This window comes from Homo sapiens, chromosome 3 (assembly GCF_000001405.40).
Source record: "Homo sapiens chromosome 3, GRCh38.p14 Primary Assembly".
Taxonomy (NCBI): Eukaryota; Metazoa; Chordata; class Mammalia; order Primates; family Hominidae; genus Homo; species Homo sapiens.
The window spans coordinates 185,914,216-185,939,174 of NC_000003.12; the positions used below are offsets into that span (position 1 = coordinate 185,914,216).

General features: G+C 39.3%; 1 protein-coding gene across 3 annotated transcripts, besides 4 other annotated features; it reads right to left on the reverse strand.

Moving 5' to 3' along the window:
* Positions 343 to 23,799, reverse strand: TRA2B (transformer 2 beta homolog). Of its 3 annotated transcripts, none has more exons than NM_004593.3 (9): positions 23,610 to 23,799; positions 12,386 to 12,519; positions 11,249 to 11,411; positions 9,581 to 9,769; positions 7,796 to 7,911; positions 6,889 to 6,972; positions 5,222 to 5,281; positions 4,150 to 4,223; positions 343 to 3,510 (listed from the first exon to the last, which is right to left on the reverse strand). In NM_004593.3, exons 1-9 carry the CDS (start codon positions 23,643 to 23,645, stop codon positions 3,500 to 3,502), a joined length of 867 nt encoding a protein of 288 aa, NP_004584.1. In that variant the 5' UTR covers positions 23,646 to 23,799; the 3' UTR covers positions 343 to 3,499. The 3 variants fall into 3 exon arrangements, with proteins under 3 accessions (NP_004584.1, XP_047304673.1, NP_001230808.1); XM_047448717.1 differs by lacking the exon at positions 23,610 to 23,799 and adding an exon at positions 17,362 to 17,545; NM_001243879.2 differs by lacking the exon at positions 12,386 to 12,519.
* Positions 23,021 to 23,230: an enhancer, noted in NCBI's record as "active region_20929". NCBI's record gives its function as "activates an Ori minimal core promoter by ATAC-STARR-seq in GM12878 lymphoblastoid cells {active_cell/tissue: GM12878}" and the evidence as "EXISTENCE:reporter gene assay evidence [ECO:0000049][PMID:35858748]".
* Positions 23,021 to 23,860: a biological region, named in NCBI's record as "NANOG-H3K27ac-H3K4me1 hESC enhancer GRCh37_chr3:185655136-185655863".
* Positions 23,133 to 23,860: an enhancer, noted in NCBI's record as "NANOG-H3K27ac-H3K4me1 hESC enhancer chr3:185655136-185655863 (GRCh37/hg19 assembly coordinates)". NCBI's record gives its function as "activates a minimal SCP1, AML or CMV promoter by ChIP-STARR-seq in naive H9 embryonic stem cells {active_cell/tissue: H9 hESC(naive)}" and the evidence as "EXISTENCE:reporter gene assay evidence [ECO:0000049][PMID:30033119]".
* Positions 23,271 to 23,730: an enhancer, noted in NCBI's record as "active region_20930". NCBI's record gives its function as "activates an Ori minimal core promoter by ATAC-STARR-seq in GM12878 lymphoblastoid cells {active_cell/tissue: GM12878}" and the evidence as "EXISTENCE:reporter gene assay evidence [ECO:0000049][PMID:35858748]".

Sequence of the window (24,959 nt, forward strand, 5' to 3'; positions counted from 1 at the left end):
AGGAGAACCGCTTGAACCTGGGAAGTGGAGGATGCAGTGAGCTGAGATCGTGCCACTGTACTCCAACCTGGGCAACAGGAGTGAAACTGTCTCAAAAAACCACACACACACACACACACACACACACACCAACGAACCCCCCCCCCCACCAAAAAACAGTGATTAACTGGTCTCTTAGTACTAACGTGGGATCCCATTTCAATTCATCTCCTCTTGCCAGGCCAGTAAAGCTCTTGAAATAGTTTTAACTTCATCAACTGATTACTCATGGGGAGAAGGGATTATTTTGGGTCTTGTCTTGCTAGTAAGGGACAGAGTGAGTGGAATAGAACCAATCCAGTATTCTTGTCACTTTTAAGTCTTTACATTATATATTAAAGATTACACATAATAATCCTTTACACTATATACAATAATCCTTTACATTACTGTAGTAGCATTCTGGCTTTTTGATGACATTTGGCATAAGCTAGCATTAAGTCCAATCCTACAAGAGCCAATCAAAATCCACTGAGATGGCATGCTGAAGGAATATTGGAGGCGTGTCCACTGCTAATAAATCCAGCCTAATCCATCCTCAAAATTTCCATATAATTTACAGAAATTTTGATAATGCAAACCAAATCTTTTTATTTCTTCTCGGTGAAACTTCTAATTCTCAATTTCTCCTCCTGGGCCTTGCAGAATTGGAATCCTAGTCAATGGTGTAAGAGGGCTAAGAGCTATTAGTTTTATCTTAAGGCATATATTCCTTATGTAGGGGCAACAATGTAAACATTGCAGACCTTGAGCATTCTCTAACATGTAGTTAGATTTCCATAAGGAAATGTGCAAGCTAGATCCCTCTCAAGCGCACTTCACAATAGGATTCCTGCTATGAAAATCTGCTGTTGCTGATCTGACAGGCGGCGGAGCTCAGGCAATCCATGGCCAGGAGATCGGAAACCCCTGCTCCCAGGTCTACAAATCTTTTGACACAGCCTTATTTCCACTTGCTGGGACCCTGTTGATTTCCTGAGAAGTTTCACAAAAGCCTAGTATAAAACTATTTAACTTAGCAATCTTCCAAATGAACTTTACATTTGGTTTTAGTAGTCTCAGCCCTACAGCTATAAGAAATGGATTGTTTGTATTGGCATATAAAAGCCTCCAAGTCCCTTTGCCTTGAGGCAGTAACTTTAAGACTCAAATTTATCCTTTCCCATGGCTTTTGTCTGATTCAGCTGCCCATGGCAGCAGTTACCTAGGGGTTACCTACGGGTAACTGCTGCCTCCCTTTCATGAAACTGGCGACTAGCATTACAGCACATCAAAAGACTACCACTTTGTCTCACTACTTCTCAGTCTATCTCAACTTGGTAAAATTCCAAATTTTCCTCAGTCTTTTGCCTGTTAACACTCTTTGTAGCCATGTCAAATGGCTAAAATTCTTTCAAATCTAAAAGCCAGAAAACAACTCAAACTAGCCTAAAAAAGGAAACTTTCAATCAGCAGGATAAAGGATGGCTACACAACTAAAGGGCTAAAACTCAGGCTTTAGGATAGAAACCGAGGGTTATGTTCGAGATTATCAGGAGTGTGAACTCGCAAGCCATCAGTTAACTGATGGGGAGAGGTTTGGTTGGGGAGAAAATGGTGGAGAATGTAGTTACTTCAGGAAAGGATGCCTGTATATACTACCACGATAAAACCAGGTTTCTCAGCCTTTAATGTATCCATCCATAACACAACCCCCTCTGGGACCACACCCTAAAACTCAACTTTATATATAAATACTACAAATTCTTGTTTCAAAACTCATTGAGAACAATTTGAAATAACCCATCAGGCATATACTAAGTTGTTTCCACATGCTTATCAGAAACAAACCTAAGGGTAGTTCTCTAAGCATATTAATTTACCACAAGTTGGCAAACACTGAAAACACCCTGGACAGTAAGTTTTACAAATTAAGACCTGCCAATACTGCCTATGCTCCATTACTGGTATTTTCCATCACCCAGGTACCCAGATTTGAGACATCATGATCAAGAGAACTGTGGACTAAGATCACCTAGGTTCAATTCAGATCGTGGCATTGCCACTTAAACAGCTATTTGAACTAAGGTAAGTTACTCTACATCATTTCATTGCTAAAGATTATATGTAAAGTTCTTCCCAAAGTACCTGAAACATACTAATACCTAGATGCGATAAAGGTTAGCAAGGCAACAAAATAACCCACCTGTAGCAACATCCCTACAATTGGTCATGAAAATTACTTAAATGCAAAATAATAAGAACATGTATTAAAGTACCCGCAGTCTAGTTATTTACTGTAACTCCATCCCCAAATGGAGATCACTCTAATACCTAGTTATGCACTCTGAATTTTCCAGGAATACAGAAATTCATCCCCCCCTCAACCCAGCCCAAAATAGCAAAGATACACCTCAGCCCAAGGAACACACTGCCCTAACGATTAAACTACAGAAGAACTCTAATTATAATAGAACAAGAACACTTCTTTGTGAACAGCTGCACCAACATTTTTCTTTTCATTTGCGTTTATTTAAACACAGTTCTCAAAACATTTGAGTGAAATTGGGCCTCCTTTGGTAAGCAAAGGACCTGAAAATAATATTTAAAAAATGAACAGGCAAAGTCTTCAGTTCATCCATGACAGGTATAGTGTTCCCTTATCATGTACTTTGAAGCACCCGGTTTTTTCATATAGTCTAAAAGCTAGAAGAACAAGAGTGTATTTGTGGTGGAATGTATTGTCACTTGCTGATAACTAGTTGAAATACCATTATCCCCTTGTAACACCTTTAAGAAACAGCCTTTTAAGGCATACACTGTGTAACTCTTCGTATTTCCTGCTATACATATTACAGATTACATAAAAGCCGACAAATCCACATTGATATAAGCATTAAGCACTGGCTGTATTTTAAGATTTTTAGTTCTAATACTAGCAGTACAGAGTTACAGAGCATAATTTTAAACACTTAGTTGCAGGTATATAAGTATGGTATGTTTCATGGACTGGAGGAAAACGGGCATTTGTCTTTAAATTTACTACTGACAATCTGAATAGTTCTGCTAAGCATTGATATGTTAGAAAGAAAAGTAAAAATCAAACTGTTTATTGTTGCTTTTTGCCATTTGGTAGCATTTTACACAGGCTTCGATCTTCAGAATACCCTGGATTCAGTAGAAAAACCTTTTAAATGAAGTTTTGTACAATAGAAACTTCTCAGCAGTCAAAATTTAGACTGTAAAAAAATACATGCAAAACATACTTTTCTGAAAACACTTAACTTGGAACAAAGCACCAAACTACACAAATGCAGAATGAAAACAGCATTTCAACTCCACCAAAAGTAGTCATCGTAAAAGGTGTAAAAGTCACCTAACTTCACTAGGCACTGTTCACTTTTTAAACAAGAGACAATAAAAAATATTGCCCACAAACAATATCCCAGCTCTAGGGCAGGTTTCAGAAAGTCTTCATGCTTTAATAGCGACCTGGGAAGAAAAGAATGAACATGCTTTAATATTAAGTGAACTAATTATCAAGTATACTTTAATGCCGAGAATTTCAGAATATTCTGCCATTAAGAAATTCCTATGTGCCAGAACCCCACCACCCCCAAATAGAGAAAGACTTCCATGTAAGTATTACACCAGAAATGAGATAGCAATCTTAAATAACAGAAATTGCTGGGAAGTATATAACTCAATCTGAGAACTAAAGGGCTAAGTAATCCATGTTTCTGTGCTGTCCAAAAATTTTTAAGGACTCTTGAAAAGCTACTAAATGGTGGAAATACATTATTTACTGTTTCAATTAGAAACAACAGGAGTCTCTGAGCCTACTCTGGGTAAATGGTGGAAATACATTATTTACTATTTCAGTTAGAAACAACAGGAGTCTCCGAGCCTACTCTGGCTCAGGAGGCTGTCCAATTTTTCCTTCTTAAAAAATAATAGGATTCTAAGGGTTGTTTCCACAAACTTTCTTGAACCAAAAAATGTTCAGGATGTGTGGAGAATCATTAGGTATGAAACTACCTGAAACCAATCCATTATCTGATAAAGGGAATACACTGTCATCAGAGCAAGCCATACTACAATATAAACAATCATATTAAGATAAAAACTTACGAGGTGAGTATGATCGAGATCTGGAACGTGATCTGTATCCTCCACGACTATAGTAAGGAGAAGGTGACCGCCTTCTATAAACAAATGTCAAGATTGTCTAAGTCTCAATAGATCACAATTAGACCAAACATATAAATTTATGACTATATATACTGCCCTTTCATCAGTTCCCCAAAAAAGGAAAGCTGCATGAACCTTCAAGGTCTGTTTAAATCTTGAGAATGAAGCACATTATCAGGCCCAAGTGTCAAATAAGCACTCTTAATAACTTTAAGGTCAAATAATCCTTGCTATATTTTAATCTACTTACTTTTTAAATTTTGTGAACTATGTTAAGAGAGTTTTGTAAAAGAAAATTCCTGGCTGGGTGCGGTGGCTCAACGCCTATAATCCCAGCACTTTGGGAGGCCAAGGCAGGAGGATCACTTGAGGCCAGGAGTTTGACCAGCCTGACCAACATGGTGAAAACCTGTCTCTACTAAAAAAAAAAAATTAGCTCTGTGCGGTGGTGCATGCTTGTAATCCCAGCTACTCGGGATGCAGAGACTGCAGTGAGCTCAAATTGCTCCACTGTACTCCAGCCTAGGCAACAGAGCAACACTCTGTCTCCAAAAATTAAAAATAAAAATGAGAAAATTCCCATACCATTAAATAATCCCAACAGCACCCTCTTGAACACCCAAAACTAATTTCACAAGTGCTTCAGGATTTAGCTTTGTGTTAAAAAGGCTGGCTTGAATGTTCTTGTGCTATTTGAGATGCTTACTTTTAAAAAGCAAGGAAAATGTAATACAAGAACATAATGACAAAAAAAATGAGTTATCAGTGACTAACATCACTGTACCTCATCACGGTATAAAATGGTATCACTAAATAATCTATTGCAAAACCAATTAATTTTTATAAATATACAAAGACTTTATACATTTAGTTTCCGTTAGAATATTTTCATGAGCTTCAAACAGTCTGATTTTGGGTATTCCACTTATAATTTACCAAAACATTACTAGGCAAACATCTTTATGTGAAGCTTTATACTGTTGTACAGATGCTAAGTCCTCTCCTGGCATACCTATAAATCTGATCCCTGTCTTGGGCAGCTCTCCATCCTCCTCCTCCTCCACCTCCTCCTCTGTGAAGACAGAAAGGCAACACAACACGCATTCAGTTTGTAAGTTTTAAAAAATTATGTCATTCATTTAGTAAAATAAAAACTTTCATAGAGCATGAATGAGATGTTTCTTGCAGGTCAAGTGATTTGCCACCCTTTTTAGAAACTGGCATAGGGTTCTCTCTGGTGGCTGAAATAAGTAGTATTAGAACACAGAACATTCCTAAGTAAATGCTCTTAAAAAAAAAAATCAAACTAAGAAAAAAATCTCAGCCCCAACAAATTTGTACCTTTAGTACCATTCAATAGAGTGATGCTTTAAATAAAAAAAGGGTTTTCATGGGTGATAAAATGCTGAACAATACACTTACAGACTCACTTTCAGACAATGACTGACAACTGTTAACTTCTTAAACATTGCCAAATAATGCACAAAATAGACATCCATATACCTCAATACCATTATCAATGACAACTGTGGTCAATACTTACTAACTACATTATTTGACTTGTCAAATTACACATTTTGACAAGGGAGGACCAAAATGTCACAATTTTACTTCATTTTTATCTTTGGAAGTATTCTCAAAGATATCTTTATTTTTAAACTATGATTGACATTTCCCTACCCAAACCCCGAAATACCAAATTTTTGGCAAAAATAAAAAGCCACATACCCTTGTCATACTAAATTAACATCTTTAAAATTATTCTCTGGACTCTTTCAAGGCATCCATTTTACCTGCCCTCAGTGTACGATGCATGCATTAAGAGATTACAAGAAACTGCCTGAAAAGTGTTGGCTTTCCAAAATGGCTTATGAAATTTGCTTTTATAAGCCATTATAAATTTGCTTTTAAAAGGCTAAGACAGAGGCTATAATTTTTTCTTTTAAGGTGGGGTCTTGCTCTGGGGGAGGAGACTCAGGTGGGAGCGTACTTGGCTCACTGCAGCTTCAACCTCCCCGGCTTCCTGCCTCATTTTTTGTGGAGGTTCCCTATGCTGCTCAGGCTGGTCTCAAATTCCCGGGCTCAAGCAATTCCCCTGCCTCAGCCTATAATTTTGCTTTCACTATGTATTCATTTATTTATTTTTTTTTTTGAGTCTCTCGCTCTGTTGCCTACAGTGGAGTGCAGTGGTGCAATCTAAATTCACTGCAACCTCTGCCTGCCGGGTTCAAGCAATTCACCTGCCAGTAGCTGGGACTACAGGCGTGCACCACCACAACCGGCTAAATTTTTATTTCTGGTAGAGACGGGGTTCACCATGTTGGCCAGGCTGGATCTCAGGTGATCTGCCTGCCTTGGCCTCCTGAAGTGTTGGGATTACAGGCGTGAGCTACTGCGCCTGGCCTCATTCAATGTTTAAAAATAAAACACATTTTATTATTAATATTCCAAGTTATCATTTAAATCCCATTTATATTCTAGAATATTTGAACAGAAATCCAGTTACACATTAAATTGATTAAGACACAGAACCTTAGAATCTGATTTAACTTTCTACTCTGCATTTCTCGAGTAAAAGTACTAAAGCAAAGCTTTTAACAAAGGCTAAAACTTAAGCATAGTGCTGCTCTGTACACTGTACTGAGATTCAGACGTTGACCTTTCTACCTCATAACTTACCTGTATGATCTGCTATAGTAGTCCCGATCATCATAGCCCCGATCATATCCTCTGTCATAGTAATCCCGACGGCGAGAGCTGCCACTATGAAGAAAAAAATATTCAGGTGACCTCCCTTATCTTTCTGGACATGAGTTTTTATATCTACTAGTAGGCCTTTTCTGACACATTAACTGGAAAATGAAAATTATTCCTGTTAAAATTCTCACCTATATTGAGCAAACATTGCCCTTTCCCTTGTTTCAATATATATAAACCTATTTTTAAAAATCTTTGGTTAAGGAGGCACACAGATCCTGCCAGAGGTCAATCTGCATATCCCACATATTTCTAAGAGGAAACAAAAATAGTATCACTTTGCTCTATTTAAGAAAATTTAGGCCGGGTGCAGCAACTCACGCCTGTAATCCCAGCTCTTTGGGAGGCCGAGGCGGGCAGATCATGAGGTCAGGAGATCGAGAACATCCTGGCTAACATGGTGAAAACCTGCCTCTACTAAAAATGCAAAAAATTAGCCGGACGTTGCGACACGCGCCTGTAGTCCCAGCTACTCGGGAGGCTGAGGCAGGAGAACTGCTTGAACCCAGGAGGCGAAGGTTGCAGTGAACTGAGATTGCACCATCGCACTCCAGCCTGGGCGACAGAGCAAGACTCCGTCTCAAAACAAAACAAAAACAAAACCAAACAACAACAAACAAAAAATTTAAAAATGGACTTGACTAAGATTTAGTTTTACCTGTAATGGTTGAACTTCTACTATGAGAAAAATGCCCTAATGAGGAGCATTTAATCAATCAACAGTCAAGTTTATGGCACAAACCTAAGTGCTGAAGACTTTCCACTAATACAAGTGTTTCTTTGACAAGTGAAAAACTGCCAATTATATTTATTTTGAAAATAAACTTACTAGGTAGGTCTCCCCATGTAAATTCCTGGTGTTGGCGTATGTGGTCTTTTTGTTATAGAGAAATCAACTCTGATCCTACGCCCATCAAGCTCCATTCCATTGGCACGTTCTTTAGCCTTCAAAAGGTAAATAAATTGTTACATACATCCTGAACAAAGCCACTAATTATCCTGTGGCTATGAGTAAGATCCCACTGGACATTTCAGTTAGGTGCATTAAGTTATCTTAATGTTAGCCAGAACGTAAGGTCTACAACTTACAAATGTGTTGTTCCCTCTACTAAATGTTCATTTGTAAAAGCTACTCATAAAAACTTGAAACAATTATTTTACCTAACTATGATCCTGACAGTATTTCCAGCTCCAAAGCAGCACACAATTGGCAAACTATAGCCTGTAGGTCAAATCTGGCCAGCTGGCTGTTTCTGTATAACCCATAAGCTAAAAATTTAAATAACTAGGGGGAAAAACAGTATTTCATGACAAGTGAAGAAACACACAAAATCCAAATTCCAATGCCCCAAAATAATCTTTTATTGGAATAGGGCCCCAACTCATTCATCTGGCTGCTGTTGGGTTAAAACAACAGAGTTAAATAGTTGCGACTGAGATCCTATGACTGAAACCTGAACACATTATTTAACCCTTGGAAGTTTTCTTAGCCCTTCTCTGGAAGCCAAAAGCTAAGACTGAAGCACAGCCTTAAGTACATATAGTTCCTTTTCCCAAAGTATGTATTAACAGCATACATTTAAAAAATAAAAATACCCCGTTTCAAACACATTAAAGTTTGTTCATAATTTGAGGAAACATCCTTTCACCTAAATAGAATTTAAGTTTCTAATTCCAATACTATGCTATCTTCTAGTTCAGATGTTCAAGCTAGTGTTTACGCCCAGGCAGTTTCTGGCACTAGAGATTAAGATAAAATTTATGCTATTTTCCGAGAGCTATGATCCTACTGCAAAAATTTAATTAGGAAATGGGCGGCCGCGCATGGTGGCTCACACCTGTAATCCCCCAGCACTTTGGGAGGCCGAGGGGGGCAGATCACCTGAGGTTGGGAGTTCGAGACCACCCTGACCCAACATGGAGAAACCCCGTCTCTACTAAAAATACAAAATTAGCTGGGTGTGGTAGCCTGTAATCCCACCTGCTCAGGAGGCTGAGGCAGGAGAATTGCTTGAACCCAGGAGGCGGAGGTTGCGGTGAGCCGGAGATCGCGCCATTGCACTCCAGCCCAGGCAAGAAGAGTGAAACTCCGTTTGTCATTAAGTGTTTCTCAGTTCTTCCTCTTCTCTATACTTGGAGATGACTTTAGCTACCATCCTTAATGTACCTAAAATCTGAATTTCTTAAATGGGGTCTAGCCCCACATTTCAAATCTTGACTCTATATTCTGCCTCAAAACAAATCAAAATCCAAATATGACATCATTCACTAGCCAAAAAAGGAACAATGTTTTCCTTCTGCATCATAACTTTGCTTTTGGTTATTTTTGACTCTAGAATGTGAACCCAGTGTAAACACTGACTACATATCCTGGCGGAATTGGGGTATAGTTGACCCCAATAGGTGGCAACTAATAAAGCAGGTGGTAGGACCAACTTCCCCAAGTTATACAAAATTTTGTTATTCTGCATGTATCTTGAGTCTCCACAAGAGGTTGGAGAAAAAGTTCGAAGTATTACTGACTTGTCCTTGTCCTTATCCTAGCAATTGGTCACTGATAACTTGGCGTTAACAATAGAACTGATGGTTTACAAAGGAACGGGCTTTTACTTACTTCCTTGGCATCATCTACATTTTCAAAATATACAAAGGCAAATCCTCTTGAACGCCTAGACTGCTGGTCATATACAATAGACACATCGGCAATGGGACCATATTTAGAGAACACTTCTCTTAGATCTCTTTCTGTGGTGTACAAGCTCAGCCCAAATACTCCAAGACAACAGTTAGGATCAGGATTTGCCTAGGGAAAAAAAAAAGTTTTAAACTTTGGAAAAGTTGTCATAAAATCAAAGTTGTTTAAAAAGGGAGCTGTATACTAGCCAAAATGTCACTAACAAGAAAAGTACATAATGATTAGACCAAACACTGCTTAGAAATTACAAAATTACAGCAAGTACTACAAGTATTTTTGGGAATGGGTAGGAAAGAATGCAAAAGAAAAAATTTCAACCTTAGAATTAAGTAGGTAAACAAGCACTCGTGCTGGCGAAAAGCAACTTGGCATCTTTCCTTCTATGAATTTATTCTAAGAAAAATTCACATATTCATAACATGACATACAAGGATAACTGGAACCACACTGTGTCTATCAGCTAGAAAAAATTGTAATGTTGACACACCTTCCATTCAATAGAATGCTCTGAATTGCCAAAAAGATGAGCATGTATGGTTCGATTTTTTCAGAAACACAATACACAAGTAAGTACATAAACGAAGCCTGAGGGGATGCGTACCAAACCATTTTACAGGTCATAAACAGCTTGCAATCGTAAGAAACAAGAGTTGGCCAGGCGCAGTGGCTCATGCTTGTAATCCAAACACTCTGGGAGGCCAAGGCTGGTGGACTGCTTGAAGCTCAGGAGTTTTGAGACTAGCCTGGGCAACACAGTGAGACCCCATGTCTCTACAAAAATATAACAAATTACTGGGTGTGGTGGCATGCCTCTAGTCCTAGCTACTCAGGAGGCTGAGGTGGGCGGATCGCTTAAGCCTGCAAGGTAGAAGCTGCAGTAAGCTGAGATTGCACCACTGCACTCCAGACTGGGCGACAGAGTGAGGCCCTGTCTCAAAAAAAGATGACAAGAGGAAAGAATAAAGAGTGAGCCATATGTTGCTAACATTCCAGATGCTGTGATGAATTTACCTAAAGATTCCATTTATTTCATAAACTAACAATTTACTAGGGAAAAATTCTACTCTACTCTAAAAACATTAAGTCCCCCCCTGCACCCTCCTCCTAAACCACTTGGATTATACAGTGAAATCACAATAAATATCATCTCATTTGAAGCCTTTCATGAAATGTAAAAAATGCCTTAACAACACCCAAAAGAAATTAGCTTCAAATTAAATGGGAAAGTCAGGAGAGCATCTAACTAGGTTTATGCAGCCTGGAAAGAGTTAATGTTAGCATAGAACTATATTTTGAACTAATGTACTAATACTATACTACAGTATAGTAATGCAGTCGGAAGTTTTTTTTTTTGATGGGCTAAGGAGTTACACCATTGTGTCAGTATTATGCTTAATTGACAGGCAGCCCAAATGCAGACCCCGTCATGGAAGATTAACTTAAAAGACTCTCTCAAAACACTAAAAAAGCCTCTGAAGATTTCACTCACGCACCAACTGCTAAAGCTCTATTGTCAAAATCAGCTCTAACTTTAAGAAAAAGTAAATTTAGGCAGTTGACTGCTTCAAAACCAGTTTTTCATCTTACCCGATTCCCAACATGACGCCTGCGAGTAGACATGGGAGAATGGCTGTGGCTGTGCCGTCTACGATAATCTCGACTGTAAGACCTGCTACGTGATCGTCTATGGGAGCGGGAGCGAGACCGTGACCGGGTATAATGCCTTCGGGAGCTTCTTCTGGATCTAGACCTGCAAGACAAAGACCTCCTAAGGTTATGACTGAAAACAAATATTGTCTTCTTTATTACTCTGTTCTAAAGTTAAACTCCAAAAGAGGGAACAATCCAGGAATATGCTAACATGGTTACCAATTTAGTAGGATCAATACTTTTCTTCTCTAATTATTTAGTCATTTCAACTTTGCTAGGAAGCGTTCTAAAAACCACAAGCTCTCCTCCAGTATTTCTTCCAATTAAAGACATATTACTTATCTTTTACAAATCAAGGCACGCAGCATTTTACTAGCTTGGCTTGTGCCCATCTTTCCCCCTCAGAAGACCATTCTCTACTTTTCTGTCTCCCATTATGCCCACCATTAATTTAATACAGTAACAAAATCACAAGGAGTATTCCCCAGCAGTTAAAAAAACAAAAAATTGAGTGGCTCTTGACTAACTAGAGTGACTCTAAATTGTCATCGAAACGAGGACACACATTTAAGAAAAGGGGTGCTGTTAATTATGCCTGACCACAGGCATAAATGGTATCGCCCCAGGCAAACCAGGATGTATATATAGCCTACTTTTGACCAACATTAAAAAAAAAAAAGCGCACCATATATATACTTATTTATCAAGAATTCTAATTACTGAAAGCCAATGTTCTGCAGTATATTTGCCATACTAGTAAGCAGTTTACTTACATTTAGTAAATCCTCACAACAACCCTGAAGAACTGGTACTGTATTACTAATTTGCCTTTTATAAAGAAGCTAAAGCTGAAAGGTTAATCTGCCCAAACCAGCAAAAATAGAAAACCCTGACTCCAAAAGCCCAGGCTCTTAACCGCTTTTAGTCTTGCCTCCCAGAACTTAAGTTCACTTCTAGTACCAATATTTAATAGGCCAACAAATAATCTAACCCTCTCTACCTTCCTGGTTTACAAAACACGCACCAATTTCAGAGCTAAGAGTAACGAGGAAATCTCAAGACAGTCTTTCTTACCTAGATTCAGATCGGGACCTGGACTTTGATCTGGAACGCCTGGAATCTTCCTTGGAGCGAGACCTTGCAGGGGTATGCCTTGCAGATTTCCCCGATCCGTGAGCACTTCCACTTCTGGAAGCAGAACGGGATTCCTACACGTAGATGTTAAAAGTTTAATTTGCACACTTTCTGGGCAACTTTAAAAACAAATAAGCTGCTGTGAGATAAATGGTGAGGGACAGCAATCCCCTTCCAAGATAAGAAAATATAGGTAAGGGCAGGAACTGAATATACCTGGTGTTAATAGTTTCATTGCTCCAAATGACATAAGTCAATTAACTTGTCCTTTCTTCCACCTTTTTGGAGCAGGGATAAGAGTTATTTGACCCCACTTCCTTCAGAAAGGGGTGCCAAAGTCAAGCAGTTAAGGGAACTGTCCAAGGACTGTGTTTCAGAATGTTACTCCATAAAGACTAGGGTGAGGCGGAACCTTATTAACTATGACACCTATACTTTATACCTATTTCAATCAAGTTGCAATCAATAAAACAAAATCCTATATAATTTATATAATTTACTTAAAAAAATGCTTGATTTTTAAAAAGACCTTGACCTTTCAAGTTACTACTTATAATTCAGTGATAAGAGATAAAGATGATGATCTCAGTTTCAAATCCTAGAGAAAAGCAGAAACCTAGTGGAAAGCAAAGGCTAGCTTGAAGGACACTAAACCCTGTAAAACCCTATTGCATCTAACCATGGTGGGAGGCCCCCTAAAAAACTGAAAGCAACCAGATGGAGCTACAACAGAACAGCGAACTACACACAAATAAGAGTAGAGAGGGTGTCAGAGATCCTCCACAGCTTCTCCAGCTAAATGGAGATGAGCCAGGGCAAACTTATGGAAAACCAGGAATTAACCTAACTTACCTAGTTACTTAAGTACACATCAAAACCAGGCAGCTAAATCAGGAGCTCCTAACCTAGGGCCCAGGAAGCAAAAGAGTACAGAAACTACATACAAAAGCCAAAGTTTAGGTAAACATTGTGTACTCATAGCTTTCCCAACCAAAACTGGGATTGGCTGGCAGGTTAAGGGGGGATTTGTAATGAAAAATAGCAAAGGAATGGTAACCAGGATAACTAGGTCACCAACGAGCTAAAGACACATAATCAACAAAAGGGTATACTAAGTAATGAAACCAAGGAAAAGTTCTGCCAAGGCACCAAAACAGTAGATGAGGAAAGGACAGAACCTACTCCTAGTCAGTCTGATAGCTAGGTAAAATTATCAAGGCAACCTTTATTTTAGGTTATCAAACTTAGACAAAGTAAAGCCTGGTAAGCCTTTCTACTCCAGAGAGCAGAAATGGCAAGACTCAAAAGGAAGCAGTATTACAGTAAGTCACTATATGGCATGAATCAAAGGTGAAGCTTTCAGATAAAATCACAAGAGATTTCCTTGTGTGATACATCTTCAGAGTATTCTGGACATTCTTGAAAGGACAGTAGAGGATTATTCTAAATTACAGCTCAAAACACTTTAGAAGATAGTTTTGTGGTTTACAACATAATGGAGAAAATTTGGATGATCCTTTGATGCTCAGGGAAAACATTTATAATGTAACACAGAATAGACAAATTAAGGTTTGAGGTTTAACACAGAAGGAAAGGCTAACTCATCCAGTAAAATGAGTTCAGGTCTCTAGGCCCCAGACGACTCTAGAAACGTTCAAATGACTTCAAAGCCATTATAAAACATGGTGGGGTGACATGAAATGTGACAGCCTTTCCCCTCTACCTCCCTCCATGACTGACTGTAAAAAGATTAAAAGAAAAATATATGAACAGCTGCCTTTAACATCAAGAAATGGTTAAAGGATGTAGTGATGCTCTGGGGCTTCCAATTAACAACAATCCCTTGGAATTCCCTATCAAGTATTCTGAACGGACACTTCCCTTCTCTCCATGGACAAAGGAGGAAGTCTCAAAAATGAGGGTGTAGTTTTTGCTATTTTTACCACAGGCAAAAATTAACATAGGTGAGAATATAGAAATGGGGAACCCAAAAGTTGCTAAAAGCCTGTTTACTCCAACACTAGAAAGATTACCTCTATGGAAATGAAACAATTTTCTCCAGAAGTGAAAGCAGAATATGGGTGTTTCACAGTAACAGTTAAGACTACCAATAAAGTAACTGTAGTTAACAGAAATCAGTCAGCCCAGGAATCTGAGTATAAAGGAAGAATGGGTCAAGTCAAGATCCTCTTTAAGCTCCTGGCTTTAACAGAAAAACCTTTATTCTAAGCTAAGATGCTTCGGCAGCCTGTCCACTGAGGGAAGAGACAGTACTCCTAACCTAGAAAATAAGACTTAATGAAGTTTTCTCCTTAAAATCTAGCAGATCACAGATACAATATTTCTGAAATCACAGGAGTTTTCACTCAGCCTCCAAAACTAACGGACTATGCAGATATATTTTGTAAGCAATCATTTCTTGGGCCAGGAATAAGGGAAATACCAGAATGCAAAGGCTTCCTTTTCTATACTGACACTTGTTTGGGTAACACCTAAACGTCTCGATCCTTTATCAGGGATATTTTCTTAAAGAAGTTAAAGCTTTCTGAAGTTATTTTGGCCATTTAACTGGCTGGGAAATACATATGGCAAGGGAATAAAACTTGCCTACAAGAAATAAGACCTAAAATTAGCACCCAAATCAAAAGCATAATTAACTTTAAATCTCAATGCAGACAGGTAAAGCTATAAAAACCAGTTGGGGAAGTCCCTAAATCTAAGCATACTTCAAATTCCACTCTCAGGGCTGACATGGTCAACACATTAAAACCACACCAACAGACAGAACTGGACACCACTGCCTCAAAAAAAGGGACCATGAAACTAAAATTAGCATGAATAAAACCAAAATTTCCCTGAAAAAATGCTCAGGAAATCAATCAAGCTCTCACAGACTGGATCTCAGCCACATCCTAATACAAAACCTAAAGGGAATACATCAAGTAAAAATACAACACACTTAGCCTTCCAACAAAATAATCCACATCTCCCTATTCTGAGAACAGCAACCACCTTACAAAAACATATTTGAAAGGACTAACCATCCAATCCCTGTATTATTTTAAAAACTGAATGTGGTTTGTTAGATTTAAAATAGTGGCTCATAAACACTGCATCTCTTAAAACACTGTTTATCATACTAGTTAAGTCTGACTTACTTGACTTAGTCAACCTCAGAAGTTACATGCTTCCTACTCATTTTTTTCCCTTGGCAAAGGTTATCTTCCTGAAACACTGTCATCCCCTTCCTTGTTTTGACTCCCCTTAGCATTAATCAGACCTCTGATTAAGGCAGTCTTTCACACACTGCCTGTTCTCAGGAACAGAAGCCGGCCTCCTCCTCATCTTCCCTATGGCCCGAGGAGGAGACACATTAGGACCCACAGATGCTTTGGTCAAGGGGGAAAACAAAAACAAATGGACACAATGGTCCACTAGCAACGTTTTCTCACCTTAAGTCTATCCAGCTTGGGTCATAACCAGATTCCAAATTGCTTTCTTTCCTTTAGTGGGCTGGGGGTTAAGAGGTCTTTTCCTCTTTTGCACCCCAAGGACCTGTCAGGTTTCTTGATAAAAGAATCCATGGGCTTGGAATTAAAATGTAATATTCATTCACACATTTACCTCAGTTTCCTGCCTGCTCTTTGAGTAATTTGGAACATAAAATAACATTTATCATCATTAGTTTATCTATGGCAAGAAATTTGACAAAGGAATGCAAAACTTCTTAAGAGAAAATTTTCTTCTGCTTGCAAGATATAGAAATAAACAGGCCTGAAAGCATCAGAAAATGGATTCTCCAAGAAATGCCATTTAAGTCACTTTCTCCAAGAGCATGAAGACCTGACAACTCTCAGAGAAAGTTTATTTCAGGAAGACATGTGTGACATGATACCCTTGGCATTCTCAACTGGGTAGAAAACCGCTGGCTGACTACTACTGGGTATTATTTTTGATATGTGTACTTGTCTCATTCAACTGAAAGTAACATTACACCAATCACTTGACCCTTCTACTCAGCTAAAACAAAACACACAGAAAAGAAGGGACAGCTTTTGGGTTGAATTTCTCAATAAGTGCAAGGGATACCAGGTAACCAGAATAAAGCTACTTTGTAACCGTTACCTCTAACATTACAATAGCTAAATGTTGATAGCAAAAAAGGAGAAATAGGAATGAAAGCATCTGCCATTACTGCAATTTGTATTAGCTATCCTGTTCACTTGTGTGACCCACCTCTTCTAAGGGGAAGCTACGGTATTTTATCAGTAATCCTAGTCAATCAGCTGAAATAGGCATTAAACAGAAACAGAATTTGAAAAACCATCCCTGTGTATTTAGCAAATATGCATCTTAAATTTAGGGCCCAAATGCTCACAGATTTCCACTAGTGCCATATGGAAAAAACTAACACACTAATGCCAAAGGGAACTATTTTGTTCAATGCTTTGTTTGGATTTTGGGGGTTTGGTTCCATAACCATCCTGGTGACATTCCTTTGAAAATGGTTTAACAGAAAATATTCTACTATACATTGCTCAGTACTGAAGGAAAGGGGACAGTGCAATCTAAGAGTCCAGGGAGGTGGCAAAGACCACCAGTTCCAACCCTGGAGGTATTCGCTCATGCCCCAGGACCAGCAACATTAGACAGGTAAAGTTTATCTAGAGAGGACAACATGAAGCCCACTGTTACCCATGCTGGAGAGCTCACTGCTGCCTGGTGCTTGACTACTAAATATTTTTTAAAAATTGCATTTCAATCATTTAACTAAGCAGTTAAAATCAGAATTACCTAATTTAAACGTTTCCCCTGGAAGGCACTTCTTTACCCTGTATATATTTTCCTCTATTAAACAAATAATGCATGCATGTTTAGCAAAATATACAGGGACACATAAACAGACTAGTAATTACTTAGCGTAGTGCTTTCTGATTCCAGATTACTTCTTATCTTAACTTCATTTTTATTTCTTTTCTTCATTCTTCCGTTTCAAATTCTGACTTCTTTCATCTTCCCCACTTCACACAAATTGCTCAATATTCTACAAGTGGGACTTCTGGTCTGATAATTAGCATGCATTCTTTCTTTTATTTTTTCAAATTTCAGCTTCACTTATTCCTGAGCTTCAAATACTCATTTATAAAACTTGTCAAATGACGACTTCCGCATTTTCCTTCTTCAACATTAACCTTAATAGAAAAAGAACAGGATGAAGAATATTTTAAAACTCCAGGATAAAATCCAGTGCCAAAACTGAAACTAGAAAAAAAAAATCCCTTTGTTGATTTGGATTAAAAAAAAAAAAAAAGAAACTAGAATATGCAGCTCAAAAAACTGAAAACTACATAGTTTTCTGCTGGTTCTAGAATATATGGTAATCTCATTTCTCTACTCCAAATAGACTTATCATGCTTAAGTTGAATGTGAAGTGCGCCACTGAACATTTACTGTTCATTTAACATTTTAAGAACTATTAGTTACATTTCACACTTCTTATTATATTCAATAGAAAATAGGTTAAGTGTCAAAAGCACACCTCTAGTCAAAAAGTGACACATTAATACATAAGTGCATGAAAGGAAAGCACGGACAATTCATTTGTACAATGACAAACGCTCAGGGTTGAAGAGGTTTACAGTATTGTGACTTGTCTAGATAGGATAAAGAAACGTATTTAGCGTCACACATTTTTGTACTGTATTTAAAGAGCTCTGCAGAAAGACGGTGTCAGGGAACCTGACAATTTGGAGCTTAAGTGTAACCCACCCCCTGGAAAAGCTGCTCTAGTGAGATTTTATAGTATGAATCATAAAAAGACAAAATCAAGTCAACCACCTACAATATGCCAGTAGCTATGAAGGAAAGCAGAACAAACTTGAATCCAACACTGGTATTTTCAAAGAGTTTTGTTGTACATTTTCCCCCTCAATTTAGAAAATATTAAGTCTTCTGGATGTCCAAAGGAGAAATACTACTTTAAAAGGTGGCACTATTTAAATTACAGCTCACCTCCTCAAATAATTAAAAAGATTGAATTTAGTTGATCTGTAAATGTCTGTTGAACATACTAAACAAAATAAAATACTGCCTACATAAAACATGCTAGTTTTTCTTGTTATCCTACATTTCACTTTGATGATCTTTCATTTTATTGTCAATTACTTCCTCTCCTGGTTTTTCCTCCTGAAAAAAATGTAAGGCTTTGTTTAAAAAAATTGCAAGTCTTTATACCTATCTGGGCATAAAGACAACCATCGTTAATCTGGCAAGTGCTGTGATGTCTTTCCTAACAAAAGGATAATTTCCAGTCTAGTTTTAGAGTCAATTATTGTTTATTTAATCCGAAAATTTTTAAATATGTTTTTATTTAAGGGAGTTACAGTAATTGGCTTTCTTTAAATCTCCATCACTAAAATGCAATGGGAAATGTTTTCTGGCAGCACAAATGTAATCATGGAATCAGAATGCCCAAGCAGGTTTCCTTAGGGCCTCCTAAAACTTCGATACAGACAGGGCACTTAGATGCAGAAGATACAAGAATAGAGGCCATAGCTCTAGCTATCACAACTGTTTTCAATGTGGATACCTTCCTGCTGTTACTTCATTACCCCTTCCTAACCTGGTTCCTTCTCTTATAGTCTAAGAACAAAACCATTACTAAATTATTATAAATATTAGATTTAATTCAACTCAGCTAAGTTCAAGTGGCTACTTTATAAAACCAGAAGATCAACTCTTGGGCTAATGTTATGTACATTTAGTTAAGAGACCCTAGTTAGAAATAAACAGAAACTTGTCCTATCAACACAATTTTTGTTAAAATGTTTCTAGGGGATACAACTAGAATCCATTTAACATTAAACATGCACAAACTCATTAAGTTGACTGACAAGGCAATATTTTAAAAATTGGGAGGGACAGGGGCAAAGAAAACCTCATTAATCCTGTTATGGAAAGGTCAATGCTCATATCAATATAATAAGGACTATATTTTTTTCTGGCAGCCAAACTGTCTACCAGAAGAGTAAATGGATAAGTAAATCCTCAAAAACTGGAGAATAGTGTCTGGAAAAAAACATCATCTGAAATTAGTTGTAGGCCTGTGCTTATAAAAACTCTCTTGTAAATATAGCACAGACTGTTAAATTTACATTCATAAAACAGTCAGTACTCCCCAACAAAAGCAAATATAAATATCTTTTGACTTTTCAGAAGACTACCTTTTAACCTAATTTCTAACCACAAAAATTAGAGAAAAAGGGGCCCCTTATCCAAACTGTCAGGTAACAATCTATGTTGATAACATCAATCTCAATGTAACCTCCAAAACCCAATTCAAAGCAAAGATTTTGGGGGAATTTCAAGACTGTAATTTGCTACAGTGAAGAACTTCTTTTGGTTTGCAGTTTAAAAACAAGACTAAGTGATTTCAATATCTAATTCTACATAGCCCACACCCCCAATACTAACCTGGGTCAAAACACTTAAAATTCCTAAACATCAGTCACCATGCCTTGTTAAAAAAACAGTCGCATATGTAAAAACACTGATCAACATAAAATGCTAAGGCTCAAGAAATATACACAGCTGTAGCTCTGCCCTTGTCCTGGGCAAAATAGCTATGAAAGCATTAATATTTACCACCTACGTTCGGATTTTATTGTAGAGAAAGGAGGAAAAAACGCTATGTAAGGCAAATCCCATTAACACTTCCCCCACCACCTGAATTCCTTTTCAACCTTTTGGCAAAACCAGTAGTACTTACCTTATAAAATCACCTGTAATGTCAGCTTGAAAATGTCACGTTCTAGTTCCAGACAATATCCACAATATTAAAGCATTCTTGTTTAAAACCAAGAAAAAAATATTTCAACCGGGTTTCAAGAGACTGATAAACCTAACCAGACTCACAATACAAAACAATTTCCTCCTATTTGACAATTCAATCCTTTTTTAAAGGAAATTTGGTGAGATGGCTGCAATTCTTTAGAAAGAAGTAGATTCAGAGATGTTTCAGTTTTGAAAATTAGAATTTAGAGTTTAGGAGCTAAAACCAAGGAATATAAAAAGACATCCCAAGATTCAGCAGAAGATGAGAAAAACTGCAGAATTTGAAAAGCAGTTTGATGGGTTGGTGTCCAGATGCTGCTATTCATCTCTAATGATAAAGATTACGTGCCTATGTTGCAATCACATCGGCTTTACAAAAATAATAGCCAGTATTCTATCAGAGTATCTGCTGGGTCAAAACATTTTCTTTAACATCTGGTCCATACATCAGTGTCTCCTTAGTTTCTGGATTCCTTTAGTAAAGACTCACTCGTAGAAACTCATTACAATATTGAGAGGCTCAGAACATTACACTGCGTGCAAGACCAACATACAAATCTCACACAACCTATACGCTGTGACCATTATTGGGCTCTAAAGATTACCCTGCACTTCATCAACTTTTTATTCAACTTCTTGTAATTGTGACTTAAAGGCCAGGAGTGCCTCTTTTTACAAAGAAATGGTGCTAGTCAACCCCTTTACAAAATGCAAGCAATTTTGGGGGAAGAGTCTTGAATCCGGAGATGAAAACGAGATCTTACTTTTGAAAGTGGTTTGGCCAGATCAGGTTAAGCCTGCTAATTAGACCCCTATAGACAGATTTTAGTGTTAATCTATTACCTTTGAGAGGGGGGAAAAAATAAATCCCACAGACCAACGAGGGATGAGGGACACACCAGTTCTTTAAATGTCATTATATTCACCCAAATGTATTCTATTGAGTGATCAAACTGAGAATAATTTATCCCACACACCCAACCTTAAAGGGGAGGGACACAACAACAAACTCCTACAGTCACTGGAAAAGGTGGGGCACAGAGGGGTGGGGTTGTCTGGATTAGAGACAGATAAATAAGGGAGAATTCCACTGATTTGAAGAGATTAGTGATTTACATTAAGACCCAGTTCAGAAGCCTGGAGTTGAATAACACTCATTTTTCTGGCTCCAGAGAAGCATCATTTACACCACAGGCATGTCTAAGATCAAGCTGTTCCATTGAGCTTTATGGTTTTCCCAAGCTTGCTTTGGAAGCCTAGACACGTGTTTGATTCAGGTGTATTCCAACCCTTAAAGGTTCCAATTGGAACACAAACACGCAAACACCAAACACAACAATATGGAAGTATTTCACAACGTAAAAGTTTAGAGATCTCGGCCAGAAAGCGAAGACTCTTATGTAAGAAAAAAAACTCAATTTTTAACACATTAAGTTAACCTCCCTCTACAATTCAAAGATTGCGAAAAACACAGTGTACTTTTACTAGTAAAAAGATAACCCATCAGAAAATTTCAAATTTCTCTTGAGCCGAGTCTCAAACTGGAACCTAGTTTCAATTGTTTCCCTTCTCACGTAAAATATACTAATGAACTCTGGGCAATTTTCCATTCTCAAGCATTCTTCACGTGTATTCAATCGAGAGCTCTAGTCAGAAGCCAGTCATTTAGTATTTTTGAAGAGTAGAAAGGTACCCAATAATTGAATTTTTCTGTTTAATAACAAAAGACTTTAAAATCGCTTACTTTGCAGTCCAAACACCAATGACTGTTATAACAGATTCAACTGCCAATGATCAGAAGTCACGACTTTTTAACAACTTTTGAGCTCAATCCCAACTTTCTTACCCAAGAAAGCAAGAACTTAAAAAAAAATCTAAAACACTCGTGACATTGGAGTCAATCGGCTTCGGGAAAAACATCAAAAACTAAAAACTCTATGCTCATCCGAGTATGTAAACGCAAGGCTTGATTAGTTCAAACCAAATTAAGCAGTTTGGGCTCCAAAATTACGCAGGAAACTCACGCTTCATCACTGAAAATTTCTTCCTAAAATACTCTGAGGAATCATATAAAATCTTAATCAAAAGTTTGCTAAGACATTTAATAGTCTTATTTACCTGATAAATCATATTCAGATCTTAAGGTAGCTTTACCAACAAGGGGAAACTTAGGTAACAAATTGTTTTTTTTTTTTAAAAAAGCACAAATTATTCCCACAGCCTCAAAAATCAATTTCTATGGTGCTTTTCTATCACCCTTCTAACAGATTCCTCTTAATTCTAGCAAGCCTCGTATGTTCGCATCATTCAATGCTTTCCGAATCCAATACCCAGAGCCCCACAGACCAGCTACGTATGCTGTTTAAACCCTAGAACTGTCTTGTTCCCGCAATTCAATCAACCCTCACTGAACACCTTTAAGAGGTGGAAACTTAAGGGAAAGAAAACTGTAGCCAACACACGCTGTGGTTCTAAGTATTAGAACGCCTCAAAACAAAGGAAATAACGGCGCCGTAAATGGTTGCCCGCCAATTTCTCCTTCACAATCCCGTGGAAATGCGATGTCCACAAAATCATCTTAACGACTTTGTGGTCTGTCCTAATAGAATACTGATACAGATTTTTGCCTGGGAAGCCCTTTCGGCATCAGAGAAAAGCGCTTCATTTAGGCCAAACACAAAGCCCTCACGCAATCCCCTCCACCTAACGGGCCCAGAACTTAGTCGGCCTTGGATTAGTTTCCATCTTAAGAGGCCCCAAAGACATCCCAGACTCCGTCCTTTCCGTGGAGGCAAAGACGGTCCTTCGTTAACCTAAACACCGGCCCAAAGACCCAAAAGAACGTCGTCTGTCCCCTTGCACCCCACCACGCGGCCTTACGAAGCGCGGCCCGCTGCGGGTCGGGTCCGCGTTGCCGCGCGGCTTCTCCGCCATTTTGTGCCTCTGGCAGCTCGCCCAGCCCGCCAGCCCAAGATGGCTGCGGCGGACCTTCGCAGGAGAGCAACGCCGAAATAAGATATCGCTCCCCTCCCCCAACACCGCGGGGACGCAGCGGCCATTTTCATCTTCCCCCTCTTATAACGGGAAAAACGGCCGTCTCGGGCAGAAGCCACATAAACCCGCCGGGGGCCTCCCTCCTTCACGACCAAAGGCACTAAGGCACTATCCACAAAGGCTTTTTTTGGTTAAATGCTGTCTCCCTTGCCTGCCCTCCCGGCTTCAGACTTCGGAGCCTAAAACGCCCCTGCCTCCTGGCCCGAGGCCGACGGGCCTAGAAAAAGATGCAAGGAGCTAGGACCACACAGCCACCCCCTACCGCAGCTCTACGTACCCGCTCGCCGTAGTTCTGCTCGCCGCTGTCGCTCATGACTCCTGGCTGCTGTCGCCGGTCGATGTGCTTCAATCGAAGCTGCCAACCTCTTGCACCTTCCTTAAGGAGGCTCCGCCGCAGCCCCGCACGACGCGCCGGTCGCCCAGCCGCTCAGAGCCGAAATGCTCCGCACCGCCTCCGCACGGGCTCTAACTCTACCGGATGTGACGCGGCGCTCCTTAGCCAGGCTCCTCCCCTCCCAGAAACGCGCGCTTTCTTGGCCTCGCCCCTCCTCGCTCTGCCTTTCCTCTCCAGCTGCAGCGCGTCCCGCACAGGAAGTGACGTGACCCCGCCCCTCGCAGGGCCCCACCCCCATTCACGAGCCTCTATGAGGCGGGAAAGCTAGCGTGTCGTTTGGCTGCTGTAGTGGGCGCCACGGAGCCACAGTGATGTCACCAGCCACTTCTGAATCCCTTCTAGAACTTTCCAGGGAACCTGCCGAGTGTGCAGGGAGGAAGGAGATGCTGTTTCCCCCAATCTCAATTCCTTTCTCCGCCTTATTAGTTTCTTGTTTTGTGTCTTTCCTTTGTTAGAGAAGTGAATGTTCGTACATTGGGTTCTTACTTAATTTTGTCTTACTTGTAGATATTTCCTTCCTGAATACGTCTTCATTTAAAAAAGGTCAGATCGGGCTGGGCGCGCTGGCTCACGCTGTAATCCTAGCACTTTGGGAGGCCGAGACGGGTGGATCACGAGGTCAGGAGATCGAAACCATTCTGGCTAACCCAGTGAAACTCCGTCTCTACTAAAAATACAAAAAAATTAGCCAGGCGCGGTGGCGGGCGCCTGTAGTCCCAGCTACTTGGGAGGCTGAGGCAGGAGAATGGCGTGAACCCAGGAGGCGGAGCTTGCAGTGAGCCGAGATCGCGCCACTGCACTCCAGCCTGGGCAATAGAGCGAGATTCCGTCTCAAAAAAAAAAAAAAAAAAAAAAAAAGGTCAGATCGGCTGGGTGCGGTGGCTCACGCCTGTAATCCCAGCACTTTGAGAGGCCGAGGCAGGCGGATCACATGGTCAGGAGTTCGAGACCAGCCTGGCCAACATGGTGAAACCCAGTCTTTACTAAAAATACAAAAAAATTAGCCGGGAGTGGTGATGCATGCCTGTAATCCCAGCCACTCGGGAGGCTGAGGCAGGAGAATCGCTTGAACCCGGGAGGCGGAGGTTGCAGTGAGCCGAGATCGGACCGCTGCACTCCAGCCTGGGCGACAGAGCGAGACTCTGTCTAAAAAATAAATAAATAAAAATAAAAAAGGTCGGACCTTAATACACAGGAATCAGACACAATCTCTATTCTAAAGTTACAAAGTAA

Bases quoted from the DNA above. Each gene is read 5' to 3' on its own strand.
- TRA2B (NM_004593.3), bottom strand. From the start codon at position 23,645: ATGAGCGACAGCGGCGAGCAGAACTACGGCGAGCGG. The intron at 9,770-11,248 runs GTAAGATGAAAA...TTTTTTCCCTAG, and splicing joins GGCGTCATGTTGGGAATCGG to GCAAATCCTGATCCTAACTG. The intron at 4,224-5,221 runs GTATGCCAGGAG...ATTTGTTTATAG, and splicing joins GACAGGGATCAGATTTATAG to AAGGCGGTCACCTTCTCCTT.